This window comes from Homo sapiens, chromosome 13 (genome assembly GCF_000001405.40).
Source record: "Homo sapiens chromosome 13, GRCh38.p14 Primary Assembly".
NCBI classification, from domain to species: Eukaryota; Metazoa; Chordata; class Mammalia; order Primates; family Hominidae; genus Homo; species Homo sapiens.
The window spans coordinates 95945365-95966748 of record NC_000013.11 but is presented as its reverse complement, the minus strand read 5'-3'; the positions used below and the strand labels follow the sequence as shown (position 1 = coordinate 95966748).

At 36.7% G+C, this 21384-nt stretch overlaps 1 protein-coding gene across 15 annotated transcripts in view, besides 3 other annotated features; it reads left to right on the top strand.

Annotated features, from left to right (window-relative positions):
* The window catches only part of UGGT2 (UDP-glucose glycoprotein glucosyltransferase 2), a 251822-nt gene that overhangs the window by 86653 nt on the left and 143785 nt on the right, over positions 1 to 21384 (top strand). For 13 of the 15 annotated variants that reach the window (XR_931617.2, XM_047430471.1, NM_020121.4 and 10 more), the window contains 3 exons: positions 17295 to 17414; positions 18668 to 18753; positions 19577 to 19712. Coding sequence is in view for 12 of the 15 variants with exons in the window: in XM_047430471.1 (XP_047286427.1) it covers positions 17295 to 17414; positions 18668 to 18753; positions 19577 to 19712 (342 nt within the window). In the remaining 3 variants the exon portion in view is untranslated. Of the gene's footprint in view, positions 1 to 17294; positions 17415 to 18667; positions 18754 to 19576; positions 19713 to 21384 lie in introns of those variants that run through there. The other 2 variants (XM_047430475.1, XM_011521102.3) reach the window with 1 other exon arrangement.
* Positions 6655 to 7154: an enhancer, noted in NCBI's record as "H3K27ac hESC enhancer chr13:96611849-96612348 (GRCh37/hg19 assembly coordinates)". NCBI's record gives its function as "activates a minimal SCP1, AML or CMV promoter by ChIP-STARR-seq in naive and primed H9 embryonic stem cells {active_cell/tissue: H9 hESC(naive and primed)}" and the evidence as "EXISTENCE:reporter gene assay evidence [ECO:0000049][PMID:30033119]".
* Positions 7155 to 7656: an enhancer, noted in NCBI's record as "H3K27ac hESC enhancer chr13:96611347-96611848 (GRCh37/hg19 assembly coordinates)". NCBI's record gives its function as "activates a minimal SCP1, AML or CMV promoter by ChIP-STARR-seq in naive H9 embryonic stem cells {active_cell/tissue: H9 hESC(naive)}" and the evidence as "EXISTENCE:reporter gene assay evidence [ECO:0000049][PMID:30033119]".
* Positions 11848 to 12750: an enhancer, noted in NCBI's record as "OCT4-NANOG hESC enhancer chr13:96606253-96607155 (GRCh37/hg19 assembly coordinates)". NCBI's record gives its function as "activates a minimal SCP1, AML or CMV promoter by ChIP-STARR-seq in naive and primed H9 embryonic stem cells {active_cell/tissue: H9 hESC(naive and primed)}" and the evidence as "EXISTENCE:reporter gene assay evidence [ECO:0000049][PMID:30033119]".

Here is a 21384-nt window from a genome sequence, read left to right as displayed (position 1 = left end):
TGGGTATGTATTATTTACATGATCATAAGAAAATAGTTTTTTGGTTTTTTAAATTGATACACAATATTTTACATATTTATGAGATTCATGTGATATTTTCTTATGTATGTAAGGTGTGTAATGATGAAATCAGTGTATTTGGGGTATCCGTCACTAGCAGTATTTATCATTTCTATGTGTTGGGAACATTTTAAGTCTTTTTTTCTAGCTACTTTGAATTATGTAATATATTGCTGCTAACTATAGTCACCCTACTTTGCTATTGAATAGTAGAATTTATACCTTCTATCTAACTGTATAGATAACTGTTTGTACCTATTGACTAACCTCTCTTCATCAACCCCTCCCACCAGCATGCCCTTCCCAGCCTCTGGTATCTATCATTCTACTCTAACTCCATGAGGTCAATATTTTTATTTCCCACTTACGAGTGAGAACACAGGATATTGGTCTTTCTGTATCTGGCTTATTTCACTTAACACAGTGACCTCCAGTTTCCTCCATGTTGCTGCAAATGACATTTCATTCTTTTCTGTGGCCAAATAATACTCCATTGTGAATATATACCACATATTCTTTATCCATTCATCTGTTGATAGACACTTAACGTTGATTATATATGTTTGCTATCGTGAATAGTGCTATAATAAACAGGCAAGTGCAGGTATCTCTTTGAGATGTTGGTTTCTTTTCCTTTCAAAAAATACCTCATAATGGGATTGCTGGATTGGATGGTAGTTCAGTTTTTAGATTTTTGAGGAATCTCCATAGTGTTTTCCATTGTGGTTATACTAGTTTACATTCCCAGCAACTATCTATAAGAGTTCCTTTTTTCCACATCCTCACCAACACCTGCTATTCTTTTATCTTTTTAATGATAGCCATTCTAACTGGGGTAAAATGATATTCCGTGTCACTTTTATTTACATTTATCTAATAATTAGTGATGTTGAACATTATATACTTGTTTGCCATCTGTATAATTTCTTTATTTTTTTCATTATTATTATACTTTTAAGTTTTAGGGTACATGTGCACAATGTGCAGGTTAGTTACATATGTATACATGTGCCATGCTGGTGTGCTGCACCCATTAACTCGTCATTTAGCATTAGGTATATCACCTAATGCTATTCCTCCCCCCTCCCCCCACCCCACAACAGACCCCAGAGTGTGATGTTCCCCTTCCTGTGTCCATGTGTTCTCATTGTTCAATTCCCACCTATGAGTGAGAACATGGCGGTGTTTGGTTTTTTGTCCTTGTGATAGTTTACTGAGAATGATGATTTCCAATTTCATCCATGTCCCTACAAAGGACATGAACTCATCATTTTTTAAGGCTGCATAGTATTCCATGGTGTATATGTGCCACATTTTCTTAATCCAGTCTATCATTGTTGGACATTTGGGTTGGTTCCAAGTCTTTGCTATTGTGAATAGTGCCGCAATAAACATACATGTGCATGTGTCTTTATAGCAGCATGATTTATAGTCCTTTGGGTATATACCCAGTAATGGGATGGCTGGGTCAAATGGTATTTCTAGTTCTAGATCCCTGAGGAATCGTCACACTGACTTCCACAATGGTTGAACTAGTTTACAGTCCCACCAACAGTGTAAAAGTGTTCCTATTTCTCCACATCCTCTCCAGCACCTGTTGTTTCCTGACTTTTTAATGATCGCCATTCTAACTGGTGTGAGATGGTATCTCATTGTGGTTTTGATTTGCATTTCTCTGATGGCCAGTGATGGTGAGCATTTTTTCATGTGTTTTTTGGCTGCATAAATGTCTTCTTTTGAGAAGCATCTGTTCATGTCCTTCACCCACTTTTTGATGGGGTCGTTTTTTTCTTGTAAATTTGTTTGAGTTCATTGTAGATTCTGGATATTAGCCCTTTGTCAGATGGGTAGGTTGCGAAAATTTTCTCCCATTTTGTAGGTTGCCTGTTCACACTGATGGTAGTTTCTTTTGCTGTGCAGAAGCTCTTTAGTTTAATTAGATCCCATTTGTCAATTTTGGCTTTTGTTGCCATTGCTTTTGGTGTTTTAGACATGAAGTCCTTGCCCATGCCTATGTCCTGAATGGTTTCTTATGAGAAATTCAGATATTTTGCTCTTTTAAAAATAAGATTGTTTATTTTATTGTTGAGTTGTTCAACTTCCTTGTATATTCTTAATATTAGCCCCTGTAGCAATAGTTTGCAAATATTTTCTCCCATCGAACAGGCTTGCTCTTCACTCTGTTGATTTTTTTTCCTTTGCTGTGCAGAAGGTTTTTCCCATTTGTCTATTTTTACTTCTGTTGTCTGTGTTTTTGAGGTCTTAGCCATAAAATCTTTACCTATTAGACCAATGTCCAAAAGTGTTTGCCTTATGTTTTCTTCTAGTAGTTTTATACTTTGGGGTATGTTTAAGTCTTTAATCCATCTTGAGTTGATTTCTGTACATGGTAAGTGATGGTGGTCTAGCTTCATTATTCTGCATATCGATATCAGATTTTCCCAGAACCATGTATTCAAGAGGGTGTCCTTTCCCAAATGTATGTTCTTGGCACCTTTATCAAAAATCAATTGGCTATAAATACATGAATTTATTTCTGGATTCTCTGTTCTCTTCCATTGGTCTGTGTGTCTGTCTTTATATCAATACCATGCTGTTTTGGTTACTGTAACTATATTTTCAAATCAGGTGGTGTGATGCATCCAGTTTTGGCTTTGGATATTCAGGTTCTTGTTTGGTTCCATACGAATTTTAGGATTTTTTTTCTATCTCTGAAAAATGATGATATCTTAATAGAGATTGCATTGAATCTATAGATTGCTTTGGGCAGTATCATCATTTTAATATTTATCTGAACCATGAGCATGGGATGTTTTTCCATTTATTTCTGTCTTTTTCAATTTTTTCTTGTACAGATCTTTTACCTCCTTGGTTAAATTAATTCCTAAGTATTTTTTGCAGCTACTGTAAATGGGATTACCCTTTTGATTTCTTTTTTGGCTATTTCATTATTTGTGTATAGAAACACTACTGATTTTTGTGTGCTGATTTTATATCCTGCAACTTTATTGAATTTATCAGTTCTAAGAATTTTCTGGTGGAGTCCTTGGTTTTTCTAGATATACAATCATGTTGTGTGCAAAGAGGGACAGTTTAACTTCCTCTTTTCCAATTTGGATGCATTTGTTTTTCTTGCCTGATTGCTCTGGTTAGGACTTCCAGTACCACATTGAATAGGAGTGGTGAAAGTGGGCATCCTTGTCTTGTTGCAGTTCTTAGAACTCAGCTTTTCCACAGTGCGTATGATGTTAGCTGTGTGTTTGTCATTTCTGGCCTTTATATTATGCTAAGGTATATTCCTTTGGTGTCTAGTTTGTTTAGAGTTTTTAATCATGAATGAATGTTGAATTTAATCAGATTCTTTTTCTGCATCTATTAAGAGGATATGGTTTTTTTTTCTTCTATTGATGTGATGTATCACATTTATTGATTTGTGTATGTTGAACTATCCTTGCATCTCTGGGGTAAATCCCACTTGATCATGGTGTATTATATTTTTGATATGCTTTTGGATTTGGCTTACTAGTATTTTGTTGAGAATTTGTGCATCTGTGTTCATCAGTGATATGGTTTGGCTGTGTCCCCACCCAAATTTCATCTTGAATTCCCACGTGTTGTGGGAGGGACCCAGTGGGAGGTAATTGAATCATGGGGGCAGGTCTTTCCATGCTGTTCTCATGATAGTGAATAAGTCTTATGAGATCTGATGGCTCTATAAGGGAGAGTTTCCCTGAGCAAGCTCTCTTTTTGCTTGCTGCCATCCATATAAGATGTGACTTGTTCCTCCATGCCTCCCACCGTGATTGTGAGGCCTCCCCAGTCATATGGAACTGTAAGTCCTTTGAACCCTTTTTCCTGTTTAAATTACCCGGTCTCGGGTATGCCTTTATCAGCAGCATGAAAACAGACTAATACAATCAGGAATATTGGCCTGTGGTTTTCCTTTATTGTTGTGTCCTCGTCTGGTTTTGGTATCCGGGTAATGCTGGTTTCATAGAATGTGAGTTAGGAAGAATTCTCTCCTCTTCATTTTTTTGGGAATAATTTGAGGAGAATTTGTGTTCTTTTTTGAAAGTTTGGTAGAATTAGGTAGTAAAGCCATCTAGTCCTGGACTCTTCTTTGTTGGGAGACTTTTTATTACTGATTGAATCTTATTACTCATTATTGGTTTGTTCAGGTTTTCTGTTTCTTCCTAATTCAGTCTTGGTGTGTTGTATATGTCCAGGAATTTATCCATTTCCTCCAAGGTTTCCAGTTTGTTAGTGTATAGTTTTCTATAATAGTCTCTGATGATCTTTTTTGTTTATATGATATCAGTGTGCTTCTTCATTTCTGACTTTTTTGGAGGTCTTCTCTGTCATGGTTAGTCTATCAAGTGGTTTATCTTTTCAAAAAACAAACTTTTCATTTTGTTGATCCTTTGTATTTTTTCTTTAGTATCAATTTCATTTAGTTCTGCTCTGATCTTATTTATTTTTTTCTGCTAATTTTGGGTTTGTTCTTGCTTTTCTATTTCCTTGAGATGCATCATTAAATTGTTTATTTGAATCTTTCTCCTTTTTGATATAAGAGCTTACTGCTACACACTTCTTTATTGGCACTGCTTTTGCTATATCCCACAGGTTTTAGTATGTTGTGTTTACATGTTCATTTGTTTCAAGACATTTTTTATTTCCTCCTTCATTTCTTCCTTGACCCAGTAATTCAGGAGCATGTTGTTTAATTTCCATGTGTTTGTATTGCTTCCAAAGTTTCTCTTGTTATTGATTTGTAGTTTTATTCCATTGTGGTGTGAGAAAATACTTGATATGATTTCAATTTCTAAAAATTTATTGAGACTTGTTTTTGTGTCCCAACATATGGTGTATCCTGGAGAATATTCCATCTGCTGGTAAGAAGAATGTGTATTTTGTAGCTATTGGATGAAATATTGGGTAAATTTCTAAAGTCTATTTCATCAAATGTACATTTTAAATCCAGTGTTCTTTTCAATTTTCCATCTAGGTATTGCTGAGAGTAGGGTGTTGAAGGTTCCAGCTATTATTGTTTTGGAGTCTCTCTCTCTCTTTAGCTGTAATAATGTTTGCTTTATATGTGTAGGTACTCCAGTGTTTGGGTGCATATATGTTTAGGAGTGTTTTAACTTCTTGAAGAATTTATCCCTTTATTATTATATAATGACTATCTTTGTCCTTTTAACTGTTTTTGACCTAAAGTTTTATCTGATAAAAGTATAGCTATTCCTGCTTGCTTTTGGTTTCCATTTGCATGGATTATCTTTTTCCATTCCTTTACTTCCAGTTTATATATCTCTTTACAAGTGAGATGAGTTTCTTTAAGGCAGTGTATGGATGGGTCTTGTTTTTTAATCCATTCAGCCAGTCTGTATCTTCTAAGTGTAAAGTTTAATTCATTTACATTCAAGGTTATTATTGATATGTGAGGACTTATTTCTGTCATTTTATTAGTTGATTTCTGTTTATTTTGTGTGTTCTCTGTTTCTCTCTCTCTCTCTTTAACAATTGTGTCTTGTTGGTTTTCTGTATTGGTAACATTTGAATCTTTTCTCTGACTTCAGTGGTTTGTTCTACCAGTGGTATTTATGTTTCAGGATGGTAGATACCATTCTTTCACTTCTGGGTATAGGACTCCCTTAAGCATTTCTTGCAGGGCTGGTCTAGTGGTGAAGAATTCCCTCAGCTTTTGCTTGTCTGGGAAAGACTTTATTTTTCCTTCATTTATGAAGGATAACTTTGCTGGGTATAGTATCCTCAACTGGCAGGCATTTTCTTACAGGACTTTAAATATATCATGCCATTTTCTCCTGGCCTGTAAAGTTTCTGTGGAGAAATCTGCTGTTAATCTGATGGGTGTTCCCACTAGATGCTTTTCACTTGCTGTTTATAGAAATCTCTCTTTCTCTTTAAATTTTGACAGTTTGACTATAATTTGCCATGGGCAAAACCTTTTGGAATTGTATCTATTTGGGAATCTCTGTGCCTCCTGTATTTGGATATCTAAATCTCATTAGACTTGGGAAGTCTTTTTCTGTTATTTCATTAAATAGGTTTTCTAATACTTTTTTTTTAATCTTCTGGGACAGCAAAATTCAAATATTTGGTCACTTTATGGTGTCTCATATGTCACATAGGCTTTGCTTATTCTTTTTTGTATGTATTTTTATTTGACTGGGATATTTCAAAAGTCTTGTCTTAAAATTCTGAGATTCTTGATTCTACTTGATTTAGTCCACTGCTGAAGCTTTTCAATACATTTTACATGTCATTCAATGAATTTTCTATTTGGTTCTGGTAAATTTCTCACTTATTTCCTGAATTGTTTTTCTGATATTTTTGGATTGTTTTAAAGTATTCTCTTATAGCTCACTGAGCTTAATTTCAATATTTTGAATTGTTTTTCTGGGATTTCATAAATGTCTTTTAGATTGGGATCTGTTGCTGGAGAATTATTGTGTTCCTTTGGAGATTGCTTATGTTCCTGTGTCCTTACGTTGACATCTGTGCATCTGGTGTAACAGTTACTTATTCCATTTTTTAAAAATTTCCATTGTTAGGGGAAGACTTTTTCCTGACCATTTATGGTGTTAGTTGCATAGTACACTTTTTGGCATTGATTCTCAATGTGTGCAGTAGGGTAATCTCTGTATGATTTCTTCATCTGTAAACAGCATCAGTGGTGTCTCTGTTTGCTAGGTGGCTTGTAGCACAGTTGCTAGTGGAGGCTGTGATGAAGTTTTGCTGAAATGTGGGACACCAGTTGGGCCAGACTTAGGGCCCTATGGGTGGCGATGGTGGGTTGAGCCTTGGCCCCCAGGGTGGTGTACACTAGCACCAGTGTTAGCAGGTGCAGGGAGGTTGATTCTTGGGCCTCTAGATGACTTGCTTGGGTGCTGGGAATGACAGTGGTAGGTAGGTTCTTGAGCACCTGAGCAGTGGTTGTGGCACGGGCAATGGCAGTAAGTGGCGGGACAATTCTCTAGGACCTAAGGGTCCATGCCAGTGTTGGCAGTAGCTGTGATGGGCTGGGTCAGCCATTGCCCAGGCCCTGAGGTGATGGTAGTGGCAGGTTGGGTGGGCATGACACTGGGAGGTGTGCTCAGATGCCAATGGTAATGGATTGTGCTGGGTGATCCCCACGTCCCTGGACAGCATGCTTAGGTACTGGGGGTGATAGAACCAGGCAAGATGGTTCTTAGGCCCCATGTTGGTACATTCAGGCTCTGGCTATGGTTGGTGGGCAGCAGGGGAGCGGGATGATCCACCGGCCATAGGTGGATGCTCAGGTAGAGGCAGCAGCAGCAGCTGTGCTGCTGTTCTGCTACTGGAGAGGGTGAAGTCACTTTCAACAGGAGCAATTGGAGGCAGGTGGCTGGGGCATGCTTTGCTCATCCTATGTCCCCCCACCCCAAAACACACACACACAGTTTGCAGCAAATGGAATTTGTCCTCAGGTGCATGGAAATGTGTGATTGTCCCTCTGCTGGGGAGGCAGTGTGACTGCCAGTGGTTCTGCCTTGGCCCTAGCAGGGAATGTCAGTGGGACCCCAGAGATATGGAGATGCGGGGGCTGTTAGGCCCCAGGGCAGGACACAGTCTGTGGGAGCTGGGCTCTCAAAATGATGCCATACTGCAGTGGCTTAGGACTCAGGGGTTTGTGGGACTGGGCATGAGCTCCCTCTCTGGATCAGTGGCATTGTGCAATCTCCAGGTAGCTCCCTCTGTTAGTCTCAGAAGCCCATAAGGGTGAAGGGGCTTTTCCATGGTTAGGTTGGTAGGAGTCCGTAGTGGAAACGTGGACTGCTGAGGGTCTCTCACTTACACTTTCCTTGCATTAGGGAACCTCTCTAGGCTTCCAGCCAATCCCAGCCTAGCAGTCTGCCTTATTTCCCTCTCCTTTCTTGCTTTCGGGTACTCCTGTCACTTCTCTGGTGAATTCCAGTGTGCTCCCTTAGACGACCTATTCGAAGTGTGATTATCTGCTTACTATATTGGTTCCTTTCCATGGAAGAGGCAAGTAGCAGATACATCTATTCAGCCATCTTGAAGCCCCTTCTTAAAAAAAAAAAAAAAAAAGATCTTAAGGGGAAAAATCCTCTCTGAAATTTTTGCTGATTGTTTTATATAAAAATGTAAGGGATTCTCTCTGAAGCATCTCAGTTATTATAGTTAGTTTTGCCTTACTTGAAAAACCTTCCTGCTCATAAACTACCTGCCTTTGGCCAGGCGTGGAGGCTTACGCCTGTAATCCTAGCACTTTGGGAGGCCTAGGCGGGTGGATCATGAGGTCGAGAGATGGAGACCATCCAGGCTAACACGGTGAAACCCCGTCTCTACTAAAAGTACAAAAAATTAGCCGGGCATGGTGGCGGGCGTCTGTAGTCCCAGCTACTCGGGAGGCTGAGGCAGGAGAATGGCATGAACCTAGGAGGCGGAGCTTGCAGTGAGCCAAGATCGTGCCACTGCATTCCAGCCTGGGCGACAGAGCAAGACTCTGTCTTAAAAAAAAAAAAAATTCTGCCTTCTCAGAGCCAAAGGACTATAGCAGCCCGAAAGAAACGCCATATTCCCTGAACATCAGAAACTTCAGATTCAGGATAAATAACAAATTACTAAGTAGTTATCATTTGTGTTTTCTAGAACACGAAGTGACTTGTTATATAGATGTTTGTTACTGTTTTCTACCACTCTTTAGACCGTATTCTTTCATTGGCTAGATTTTACTTTTACTTTGTCTTTAATCTCAATAGCAGATGTCTTTTCTAAAAATGTTATGTCAGAAAAAGGAATGACCTTGTAAGTAATCTTAATACTTGTATCTGATATTTAAGAATTTGTGCTTTTTAGCTTTTGTAGAAAAGAATGCTGAGAGAGAGTCACACAGAAAATTAGTGCAGTAATTGTCAAGGCTCTTCTAGACATAGTAAACAGACCTATAAAGAAACCTTCCTATTCTCTTTGTAAAATAATATCCTAGCTTGCTTCTAAGGTTGGCAGTGAAGGACAGTCACTCTGTGTGTGGAGGAGCAGTTGGACTTTTAAGCCCTTATGCTGCTCCCATTGTCCCCACACTCTGCAAAGCCCCATTTCCCTGAGTTGTCTCTCAGATTCTGGCAAGCTTTCAGATATCAGTCTCAGACGGTGTGCCTCCCTTCTCTGCCACCCTGCTGCTTTCAGCAGACTATCTCTTCATAAGCACTGATAAGACTGCTAATTTGTCAAGACTACCACAGGCCCCAAACCCCAGGAATTCCAGTCCATAAGGAGTATAGCTGGTTTTGGAACCCACCCTCCATAAAGGTTGTGTTCCCACGAGATTGTCACAAAGTAGTTTTTATTCAGGTTAGATATACATGGCATAAAATTTGCTCTTTTAACCATTCAGTGGCATTAAGTACATTCACAGTGTTGTACAACCATCACCACCATTTATTTTCAGAACTTTTTCATTATCCCGAACGAAGCTCTGTTCACATTAAACATTAAATCCCCATACCCTTCTTCCTGAAGACTCTGGTAAGCTCTATCTACTTTCTGTCTTTATTAATTTGCCTATTGATATTTCATATAAGTGGAATTATACAATATTCTTTTGTGTCTGGCTAATTTCACTTAGCATAATATTTTCAGGGTTCATCCATGTTGTAGCATGTATCAGAATTTTGTTCCTTTTTAAGACTGAATAATATTTCATTGAATGTATATACCACAGTTTGTTTATCCATTCATCTGTTGGACATTTACACTGCTGCTAACTTTTGGCTATTGTGAATAATGCTGTGCTATGAACTTTGATGTACAAGTACCTGTGTGAATCTCTGCTTTCAGTTCTTGTGGGTATATACCTAGAAGTAGAATTGCTGAATCATATGGTATTTCTGTGTCTAACTTTTTTGACAAACTGCCAAACTGTTTTTCACAGCTGTTACATCATTTGTCATTACCACTGTCAGTTCACAAGTGTTCCCATTTCTCCACATCCTCACCAATTCTTGTTATTTTCTGGTTTTGGCATGTTTTGCTTTGTGGCAATTGCCATCCTAATGAGTGTGAACTGGTATCTCATTGTGGTTCTCATTACATTTCCTTAATGACTAGTGATGTTGAGCATTGATTCATAATACCTGTTGGCCATTTGTATATCTTCTCTAGAGGAATATCTATTCAAGTCCTTTGCCCATTTTAAATTGGGTTCTTTGTTTTTTGTTGAGTTGTAGGAGTCCTTTATATATTCTGGATATTAATTCCTTATCAGATATATGATTTGCAAATATTTATTCCCATTCTGTAGGTTGCCTTTTGACTGTTAGTAGTGTCCTTTGATGTACAACAAAATTTTAATTTTTATGAATTCCACCTTTTTTTGGTTACCTTTGCTTGGCACCCTTGTCAGATATCAGTTGATCATAAATGCAGATTTATTTCTGGGCTGTCTAGTCTATTCCACTGATCTGTATGTCTGTCCTTATTCTAGTACCACATTGTTTTGATTACTGTAGCTTTATAGTCAGTTTTGAAATCAAGAGGTGTGAGTTCTCCAACTTTATACTTCTTTATCAAGATTGTTTTAGCTTGTCGTTAAATTTTATTTCCTGCTCTGCTTTGTGATTGCCTTTTACTAACAACAGTGGCTTAAATTTATTGAGCAGAGTGCCAGATACTATGTTCAGCATTTAAAATGAATTATCTCATTTTATTTGCACAGCGACCCTATTAGGTATTGATAGCATCCCCATTATACAGATGAAGAAACTGAGACACTAAAAGGTTATTTGAACTCATGCTTGTAACTGTGACATCATATTACTTAGTTACATTTACTGCATCTGTTTAAACATTTCCTAAAGTTCAAAAGAAATATCACTTTATAGACTTTATCTTAAAATGAAGAAGTATGCACAAAAAATGAACAATAATATGCAGCAGCCCTGTTTGAGCGCTTTGAAAACTGAAAACTTAGGGAGGCTTGACCCTCTAACCAAACCCTCTACTGCCCATGTGTACCTGGTTGAGGGAAAGAGTGTGGGGCTAAACTCTGAGCACATTTCTCCTGGCCGTGTCTTGTGTGTGCCCTTCCTGATAAGAGGAAGGGTTACATCCTTTTATAATTTGTCCTGCAGAGAGGGAACACCTTTATTCATTTCGTATACTCAGAAGTATTACTGTTTTGCAACTAACAGAAAAGAACCTTATGAGTAGCAACAGCCTACACCCAGGTACCACCTGATTTGCATAAATATCCTATCTAGATTCTTAAGCTTGCATTTCCCACTCTCACTAGGTTTCTGTTTTGTTTCATTTTTTACCTTTTTGGCCTATTGCAACTTTTCTGGAAACTAATCTACCTATTTACCAGGTGCACGTAACTTGTAAAAAAATGATTTGCAGCTGTATCATAGCCTGGTGGACACAGACTTTAGGCCGCCTGAGATCTATTCTTGTAATTCATCCTGTTTCAAGATTCATAATTAAAAATAGGAACATAGTATTTTGACTTTTTAAAAGATTTGTTGAATCTACAAATACCAATCATGGTTATTATGATAGCAGTTTGTCCTACCTGAAGGATTAGTGCTACACTGAGTAAACAAACCAAAGTAGTTCACATTTCTTAAGTAATTCAGTGATTTGTTCTTTATGCCCTCTACTTTCTTGTAAGACATCGGGCATAGACAACTGTTACACATTACAAGTTGAGTGTCCCTTATCCAAAATGCTTGGGACCAGAAGGGTTTCAGATTTCAGTTTTTTGGATTTTAGAATATTTGCATATATGTGTTGATGAAGTGTCAAATTCTGTAAAATATTTGAAGAGATTCATTTGGAGCCAAATATGAGTGACCAGTGGCCTGTGACACAGCCCTTAGGAGATCCTGAGAACATGTGCCCGAGGTGGTCAAACTACAACTTGGTTTTATACATTTTAGGGAGACATAAGACATCAATTGATATATGTAAGATGTACATTGGTTTGGTACATCTGGAAAGGCAGGAAATCTGGAAGCAGGTGCCTTCCAGGTTATAGGCAGATTCAAAGATTTTCTAGTTGGTAGTTGGCTGAGTTGTTATCTGGAATCAATAGAAAGGAATGTCTGTTTTAAGATAAGCAGTAGTGGAGACCAAGGTTTTATCATGCAGATGAAGCCTTCAGGTGGCAGCTTCAGAAAGAATAGATTGTAAATGTTTCTAATCAGACTTAAAGCATCTGTTCTATCAGTCTTAAGATCTGCTTTAATGTTAATGCTGCTCAGCTGTGTCTGAATTCCAAAAGGAAGGAGGGAATAATGAGGCCTGTCTGACTCCCCCTTCCCATCATGGCCTGAGCTAGTTTTTCAGGTTAACTTTGGAATGCCCTTGCCAAAAGGAGGAGTCCATTCAGATTGTTGTGGGGCATAGAATTTTATTTTTGGTTTACATACATAATGAGATATCTTGGAAAAGGGACCCAAGTCTAAACATGAAAGTTATTTATGTTTCATGTATACCTTATGCCCATAGACTGAAGGTAATTTTAGACAATATTTTTTTAAATTGTGTGTATGAAACTAAGTTTGTGTACTTGAGCCATCAGAAAACAAAGGTATCAGGTGTGGAATTTTCTACTTGGAGCATCATGTGAGCACTGAAAAAGTTGCAGATTTTGGAACGTTTTGGATTTTCAGATTAGGGATGCTCAACCTGTAGTATATTTGACTTATCTCTGAAACATTTCCTTTTGAGCATGCTTAGGGACTCTCACAAACACTAAAAGTTCTTTTTAACTATAGTAACTATTTTCTTTTAGATGATAAAATAATCAGCACATGGCCTCTGGCAGCCTTCCCTTCAAACTGACCTCTTTATTCTTTAAACACTACCCCCTTCTGACAGGGTGTCTCATAGATCATCTTGATTCTTTTTTCTCCAAATGTGGAACGGCCTATTCACCAAGTTTTTTTTTTGTAGAAAATAGTGCTAATGACCAAAATCTGGGCATTAGATGTGCACTTCATATTGTTTCATATAAAATATTCAGAGTAGAAAAGAGTGAAGACAGAGCAAGAAAAAATTTTCTTCTTTTAAAAGGGCATATATTTATGTTGGTAGTTCTAATTAACCTCTACCTTTATTTCATCTCTTTAAACCAGTTTCCTCCTTTTCCATTATATGATCTTACTCAATAATGTGTTCAAATTACAATTTTGGTCCTCCCTTCTGCACTCCCGCCAAAGTTAAAAGGCTCTTCTTCTTTTGTAACTCTTGGCACTAGTGCCCTGGTATTGCATTCAAAGTATGCAGGTTCTGACTGTCCCCTTGTCAGCATCATTTGTCCTTCAGCTCTCTGAAAAGAAAAAGACATTGCAAAATTTTTCTTACGGAATACTAAAGTATATAATGCACTCATAGATTTCCATAAACTTAGACGTAGCATGAAGGGAACAAAGACAGTTTCAAGGTTTTCTGGATTTAACCAAAACTCTCCTTTTGCTTTGCACTTTGATGGTAACAATGTCATTTATCTTTTATTACAGCCAGCTTTGGTGTTGAAATTTCACATATAATGTGTTCATTCACTGTTGTAGCAGTCAACTTTTTAAAAGCCAATTTAAAATGACAGAAAATATGCCCAAAGTAATGTTAAGAATCATAATCATAATAGATCTTTAAAATTTAAAAAACTTAAAGTATAATAATTTCTTTAGGTACATATTGTCGTAACATTGTCTCATTCAGTAAGAGTCACTCCATAAAAGACATCAAGACATTTGGATCATAGCATATTTTCATTATAGTTTTTATATAGTTGTCTTACATTCTTGATCAATCTCTAGAGGTTTTCTTTTCCACATGAGTATGGAGAATTTAGTTAATTTAACTGCCAAGAGTAGCCTTGGTGACAATAATACAATTTTAGGGTGAATTAAAACATGTCAGTCTCCTAATCTCATAAGCTATGATTTTCATATTATCTTCATAGAAGGGAAAAAACCCACAAACTCACTTTTTCCTCGTGACTTGGTAAATAGGTTTCAATAAGATCATAGATGCAAAATATCATTGGCCTTCCATATCCAAGGGTTCCACATGCCTGGATTCAACTAACCATGGAATGAAAATACTCAAAAAAAGAAAAACAATAAAAAAATACAAATTTTAAAACAATATAACAACTATTTACATAGCATTTACATTGTATTAGGCATTACGTGTAATCTAGAGATGATTTAAGGTATATGGAAGGATGTGAGTAGGTTCTATGCAAATACTATGCCATTTTATGTTAGAGACTTGCATATTCTTAGATTTTGGTATCCTCGGGGAGTCCTGGAACCTATCCCCCTACAGATACTAGGGGGTGGGTATATCTTTTGCCAAAATCTTATCAGTATCAGAATGACCACAGATAATGCTTTCATCTTGGACCCTAGCAAAGCCTGGGGCCGTCGTATCTTTTTTTGTTAATTTCTTTTTTTCTTCTTTTTTTTTTCCTGTGGTTTTTCAGAGATAGCCCTCATCAAGTGCTAGAGCACTACTTCTTAAACTATCCATAGTAAGAGAATAACATTTTTTCCTTAACCTGTTGCCAATCAATATGTTGTCCTACTCCTATGACTAATATGTATCTTTTTTTTTTTGAGACAGTCTCGCTCTATTGCCCAGGCTGGAGTGCAGTGGTGCAATCTCAGCTTACCACAACCTCTGCCTCCTGGGTTCAAGCGATTCTCCTGCCTCAGCCTCCTGAGTAGTTGGCACTACAGGCGTGTATCACCATGCCTGGCTAATTTTTGTATTTTTAGTAGAGATGGGGTTTCACTATGTTGGCCAAGCTGGTCTCGAACTCCTGACCTCATGATCCACCCACCTCAGGCTCCCAAAGTGCTGTAATATGTATTTTGTACTACATGTGGCACACCACAGGAGTTTGATGAACCCCAAGCTGGCTTATACCATGTTCAGTGAAATGAGACTGATACATGCTCAAATGTCATGGCCATGTCAAATTACTGCAAGTTGTTGAACACTTAATTTCTGTACTTATAGGTTATTAACAGTCTTCAGACCACAAGTTTAGTTGCACTGTAGTTGAGAGTCTCATTTTGTCTGTCTAGGCACACTTGCTTTTAGTCAGGAAAAGTGGCACTGCTTGAAGGCTCTGTATGATTCTGAGCTCCATTGGGAATGGGAGTTCTGATTGCCCTTTCCAAAGAGCTGCCAAATTCTCACCCTCAGCTGCCTTTGGGTCAAGATAAGGCCTGTTTCCCCTTTGGGGCTAGACTCCTCTGCACCTATATCTTCCTTTCTCTTTTCTTCCTCAGACTGAGTAAGCTCATTGACTTACCTTCAAATTCATTAATTCTTTCTTCTAACTGCTCAAATATGCTGTTGAGCTCCTCTCATTAATTTTTTATTTCAATTATTATACTTTTGAATTCCAAAATTTTTATTTGGTTCTTTTTGTAATTTTTATCTGTTTATTGATTTGTCTTCATGCCTTCCTTTATTTAGACATCGTTTCTTTTAGCTATTGGAACATATACCCTAAATTCCTCTGTTTTATTCATCCATCTGTGTGTGTCTCTTAATTCTGTCACCTTTTCTCTGAAGCCACTGCCTCTGACTTAGTTCAGTCCACAATAAACTCATACCTGGATTATCTGAATTACTGTAGAAACCTAATTTCTTCAAGTATTATTTGCTCCAGACTTTCTCTCCTTTCCTCTTGGATTTTTAGTTACCTATATGCTAGATCTTTTTCATATATTCCTAATCTCTCTCACACTTTGTTTGGTTTGTTTATTCTTTTCTTTGTAGTTTAGTTACTATAACAGTTGATCTGTTGTCACGTTTACTAATCCCTGTCTCTTCTGCGTACAGTCTGCAATTAAACCCACCCAATAAGTTCTTAGAGTTCTTAATTATAAATATTATATTTTAAAAACCTTAAATATCTCTTTGATTCTTTTTAAACAGATTTTAGTTCTGTCAAAATTTTTCTTTTTAGAAATTTTTGTACTTTTTAAAAAATATATTGATAGTTATTTTAAAGTCCTTGTCTAAGTAATCTTTGGGGTTTTTTATTGTCTTTTTTTTTTTTCCTGTTTCATTTCAATATTTGGTCCTTTTCTCTTTGCATGACTTTTTTTTTTTTTTGTGAGAGCCAGAAATTGATGAAAAGCTGTAGAAGCAAAGAGCTAAGGTTTGTTCTGGTATCCTCAGTGCCAGATGCTCACTTGCTTCTGTTGAAGCTTGTTTTTAGGCTTTGTGAAGGCTCTACTATTTTTGTGTCTTACTTCTAGGATCTGGCCTTACTGGGTCTCAAATGAAAGTCTACAGTGTATATAGTACTATATAGTACTTGGACTTTGGTCTCTGTCTTCTCAGTACTATTTTATAGCTGTGGTTTCAACCTCTCCGTTTCTCTTTCCTTCTGGCTTTTGTAGAGGTGTTACCATGTATATGTGCAGGATAGGAGTCAGCAAATGACTTGAGAGGAATTTGTATGGAGATTTTTCTGGTTTCCTGCAGTTTCCTTCTCTCCTACCCTCTCACCCTGCATCCTGCCCTCAAATCTCAGCACTTTGGCAGCCCGTACTTTGACTTCTGCTTTCCAACTCAGTATTTCTCCAGGACGCAATCTGGGGACCCAGGGATGAAGTTTAGGTGAATGTGGAGCTTGCTGCTTATGCCTCCTGCTTTCAAGGACCATAATGCCTCACTTCTTGATTGGTGGTTGCTTCCCCGACCACATGCCTCTAAACAGCAGTTTATATGTTTTCTCCAGCTTGTATAGTGGATTAGAACTTGATTTCTAAGATGTTGATTTTATAATTTAATTTTTATAAGCCATTTTATTTTCCTTATATCCAAGCCTTTAAATTGAGAGGGGAGGTGGAGAGGGCTTCATTTACTGCTGATAATTAAAATAAATATTCATCTCTCTTAAGTGGTTTATGGAGAGTAATTTTCATACAATTTTACGTTGGGATATGAAAAACAAACACAAGTGAAAGGAATTGTTTTTGAGAGAAGGCTTAATGTAAAAGGCTACACAAGTATAAAATTGTTGCACATAATGTATTCCTTAATTTAGAGAATATTAAACTAGCTCCTCTATTTAATCAGAAATATAGAAAATTCTATGTATATTTTTATTTATCACGATATAGTAAAAATCTGGCTTTGAAAATGATTTCAGTGTTAATATAGCTTTCACAAGTGTCTGCGTTCTTTTCTAGTGGATTAATGACTTAGAAAATGATGATTTGTATATTACATGGCCTACAAGTTGCCAGAAACTTCTGAAGCCAGTATTTCCTGGAAGTGTACCTTCCATAAGGCGCAATTTTCATAATTTGGTGAGTTTTATATTTTGATTATACATATATATCTTATAAAGATATCAGCATTCTTTCTGGATTATCCTTCTGTCAATGAATAGGCATCTGAGTTGTAAGGAAGTTAAGTATTTGCCTGAAGCAGCAAGCTTAGGTGGCATGGCTGACTGGGTATCAACAACTAGCCATGTCACTGTATTAGTCCGTTCTCATGCTGCTAATAAAGACATACCTGAGACTGGGTAATTTATAAAGGAAAGAGGTATAATTGACTCCCCAGCATGGCTGGGGAGGCCTCAGGAAACTTACAGTCATGGCAGAAGGGGAAGCAAACGTGCTTCTTCACATAGTGGCAGGAAGGAGAAGTATGAGCAAAAGGGGAAAGCCCCTTATAAAACCATCAGATGTCCTGAGAAGTCACTATCACAAGAATAGCATAGAGGCAACTGCCTCCATGATTTAATTACCTCCTACTGGGTCCCTCCTACGGCACATGGGGATTATGAGAACTACAATTGAAGATGAGATTTGAGTGGGCACACAGCCAAACCATATTAGTCACATGTTCTGCCTCTTACTCTTTAGCCCTTATGTCATTTTATAATAACCATATTAATGTTACTTTTACATTTTTTCAAAAGAATTTATGACAGAACTTTTTCTTCTTTATTAAAAAGAACTAATGATTAAAGTGTAGTAATTTTAGGGAAAGATACATAAATACCACTTTATCATCTATGCATATAATTTTATTAGCCCAATAATATCTAAACATTAATATTGGAACTTTGAAAGTTGGAGAAAATACCTACGGCTGTTTTTTCACATAGGAAATGAATAAGATATTTTTTGCAGCAGTCTTGATAAAGCAGTTATGTTAATGCTATTTTTTTTTGGTCAAAATTCAATCTCTATTTCCTTTTGAAAAAATTTATCATAGAAAATCTAATGAACATTTAGAATAAGGTATTTCAATTCAGGCAAAATAAAATATACTGGGCTTCCAAAAAGAAGATGAGTAGCCTGATGTTAAATTCCATGTATAATTATGTTTGGATGTGCAGCTTTTAGAAATCCTTCATAAATTGTGAAATCCTTTATATGTGTGTGTGTGTGTGTGTGTGTGTGTGTGTGTGTATTCCTTAGAATTGCTAGAATTTCTTTAAAAATTACACATTGAATTTCATACTTTCAGTCACAAAAATTAGTCTAAACTTGAATTTCATGAAGATTCTAAGGTGTTGAAATAGTGATATATACTATCTTTCTTTTAGGTTCTGTTTATTGATCCGGCCCAAGAATATACCTTGGATTTTATAAAACTTGCTGATGTTTTCTATTCTCACGAAGTTCCTCTTAGGTAATTGTCATTTTATAGCATTAAACTGTCAACTAAAGGAAATTCAATGTTATTCATATTGTGTTACACAGAGTATTAATAGGGCATTCAAAGCGATGGTTAGCTCTAGTGCCTGACATAACACAGCTGCACGTTGTGAAGTATTATATACCTTTATGTTAGACTCTGTTTATCAAATCTGTCTGGTAATGTTGTTTATTACCTTTCTGAGAGAATAATCTGATCACTCTGGAAACTTATAGAAAGGTCCAGCTTCATATGCTTGTAATCCCAGCACTTTGGGATTTGGGAGGCCGAATCAGGCAGATCACGAGGTCAGGGGTTCAAGACCAGCCTGGCCAATATGATGAAACCCCGTCTCTACTAAAAATTCAAAAATTAGCAAGGCGTGGTGGTGCGCACCTATAGTCCCAGCTACCTGGAGGCTGAGGCAGGAGAATCACTTGAACCTGGGAGGCGGAGGTTTCAGTGAGCCTGGATTGTGCCACTGCACTCCAGCCTGGGTGACAGAGCGAGACTCTTGTCTCAAAAAAAATAAAAATAAAAAGAGTATATTTACCCTTTTTGTACAAAAGAACATGGCCATTTGATAATGTTAGCACTAGAGGGAGAGAGAGTGATATTTTATAGGAATCCAGTAGCTATGTGGATTTTGGTGAATAGGCATTACATTCAAACTTTTGAAGTGATAAAATTCTCCTTTTCTCTGTCTATTAATACATTCTCTCCATCTAGATATTGTAGTCTAATAACGTTTCTAAATAATGGTTTATTGTGATTCAAGAGGTAATTATAACAGTCCTTGTTCATCTTCTTTTTCCAGAATTGGTTTTGTGTTCATTCTTAATACAGATGATGAAGTTGATGGAGCAAATGATGCTGGAGTTGCTCTCTGGCGAGCTTTCAACTATATTGCAGAAGAATTTGATATATCAGAAGCATTTATTTCTATAGTACACGTGAGTTTATGCACTAAATGTGATTTGTTTAGAAGGTAAAATTCTTGCATTACTATATTATGATTTCTTTAGAATGTATAATTTTTGCATTACATTTATTGTAACATTTCAAAGTTTATAAACTGTCATGGAGATTAATACAGATGATGAATTTGTTTTCTGTAACTCCCTTCTGAAGTACATATTATCCTCACATTATAAATTAGGCAACTGAGGTTCTACCAAGATATTTGAATTTACTAAGGTTTACTCAGCCAATAAAGTAATTTAAATTTTATATGTAACTTTAGAGGAAAACATATTAATAGAAAATGATTATTTAAGAAAAAATTCTTGAACTAGGCTTTGATTAAAGAGATCATTGCAGGCTGGGCACAGTGGCTCATGCCTATAATCCCAGCATTTTAGGAGGCCAAGGCAGGAGGATCGCTTGAGACCAGCAGCTCGAGACCAGCATAGGCAACACAGTGAGACCCTGTCTCTACCAAAAAAAAAATAAAAAATTCCAGGTGCAGCGGCACATGCCTGTAGTCATAGTTACTCAGGAGACTGATGTGGGAGGATCATTTGGGCCCAGAAGGTTGAGGCTGCAATGAGCCAAGATCGAGCCACTGCACTCCAGCCCAGGCAATGGAGAGAGCCTGTCTCATGGAAAAACAAAAAATCATTGCAGAGTTAAATATTCTGAATGACATAGCATATAAACACTTCCTAGAGACTTTCAAAGAAGGGGGAAGTCATTTATTGACAGCAAACTGTGTGAAAGAGGTAAGGTTGATACAGAATCTGACAAAGAGATCATATAACAGATGATAGAAATTGGTAAGAACCTGATTAAGGAAGAACAAGAGATAGTAAGATTATTTCGTAATTGAGGTTTTGAAATTCTGTTATGGATCATTGTGGAAATATATATGTATTAAAGAGCTATATTGTTGTTATTAAGAAAAGTCAAGTCATAGCTTATAAAATAACTTATAAAATAAGTCATAGCTTATAAAATAGAAGTTTTTTTTCATTTTTATATTCATTGGGCTTTAGCTTGTCAATCAATATTATATCAAGGAATGACTCTTCTTCCAACTGAGAAAGGAATTTCCAAAGTAGTGCAAATTTCCTACCCTACTTCTGTAACTCCCAGGAAAATCATTAAATACCTTATTAATTCACTGAGCTAGAGTATAGAAACTACACTTCAGTGATTTGGCAGGGGTACAGTTTGCTCTATAAAATAGTGCCATGGAATATGCATCAATATTATGTCTCAGCTTATTTGTTTTACTAACTTACTGGTGTAAGAGTTTATAAGGGACATAGTCAATTTGAGTTACATCTTTTATTAAGATTCAAGATTCAGCCATTTTATTGTAAAGGATCATTATGATATTCAAAACTTAGAAACCTGAAGATATTCAGAAATTATCTTTACCTAAGTTATCTTAATTATCAATATTGAATCTCTGTTTTGTAAGTGTTTTTTATCAGACATTAATTTACATGTGATGGCATTAATCTACAGTGTTCAGCACAATACTGTTAATATATAATCTCCTGGAAAAACAAATTATACTTGAAACCACAGGGTTTAATACAAAGCAGCATAAAAGTAAGTATTAAATTTGTGGCACAGCCTGCAAGTTGTGCTAAACAATTAGAAGGAGAGGGAGAAGGA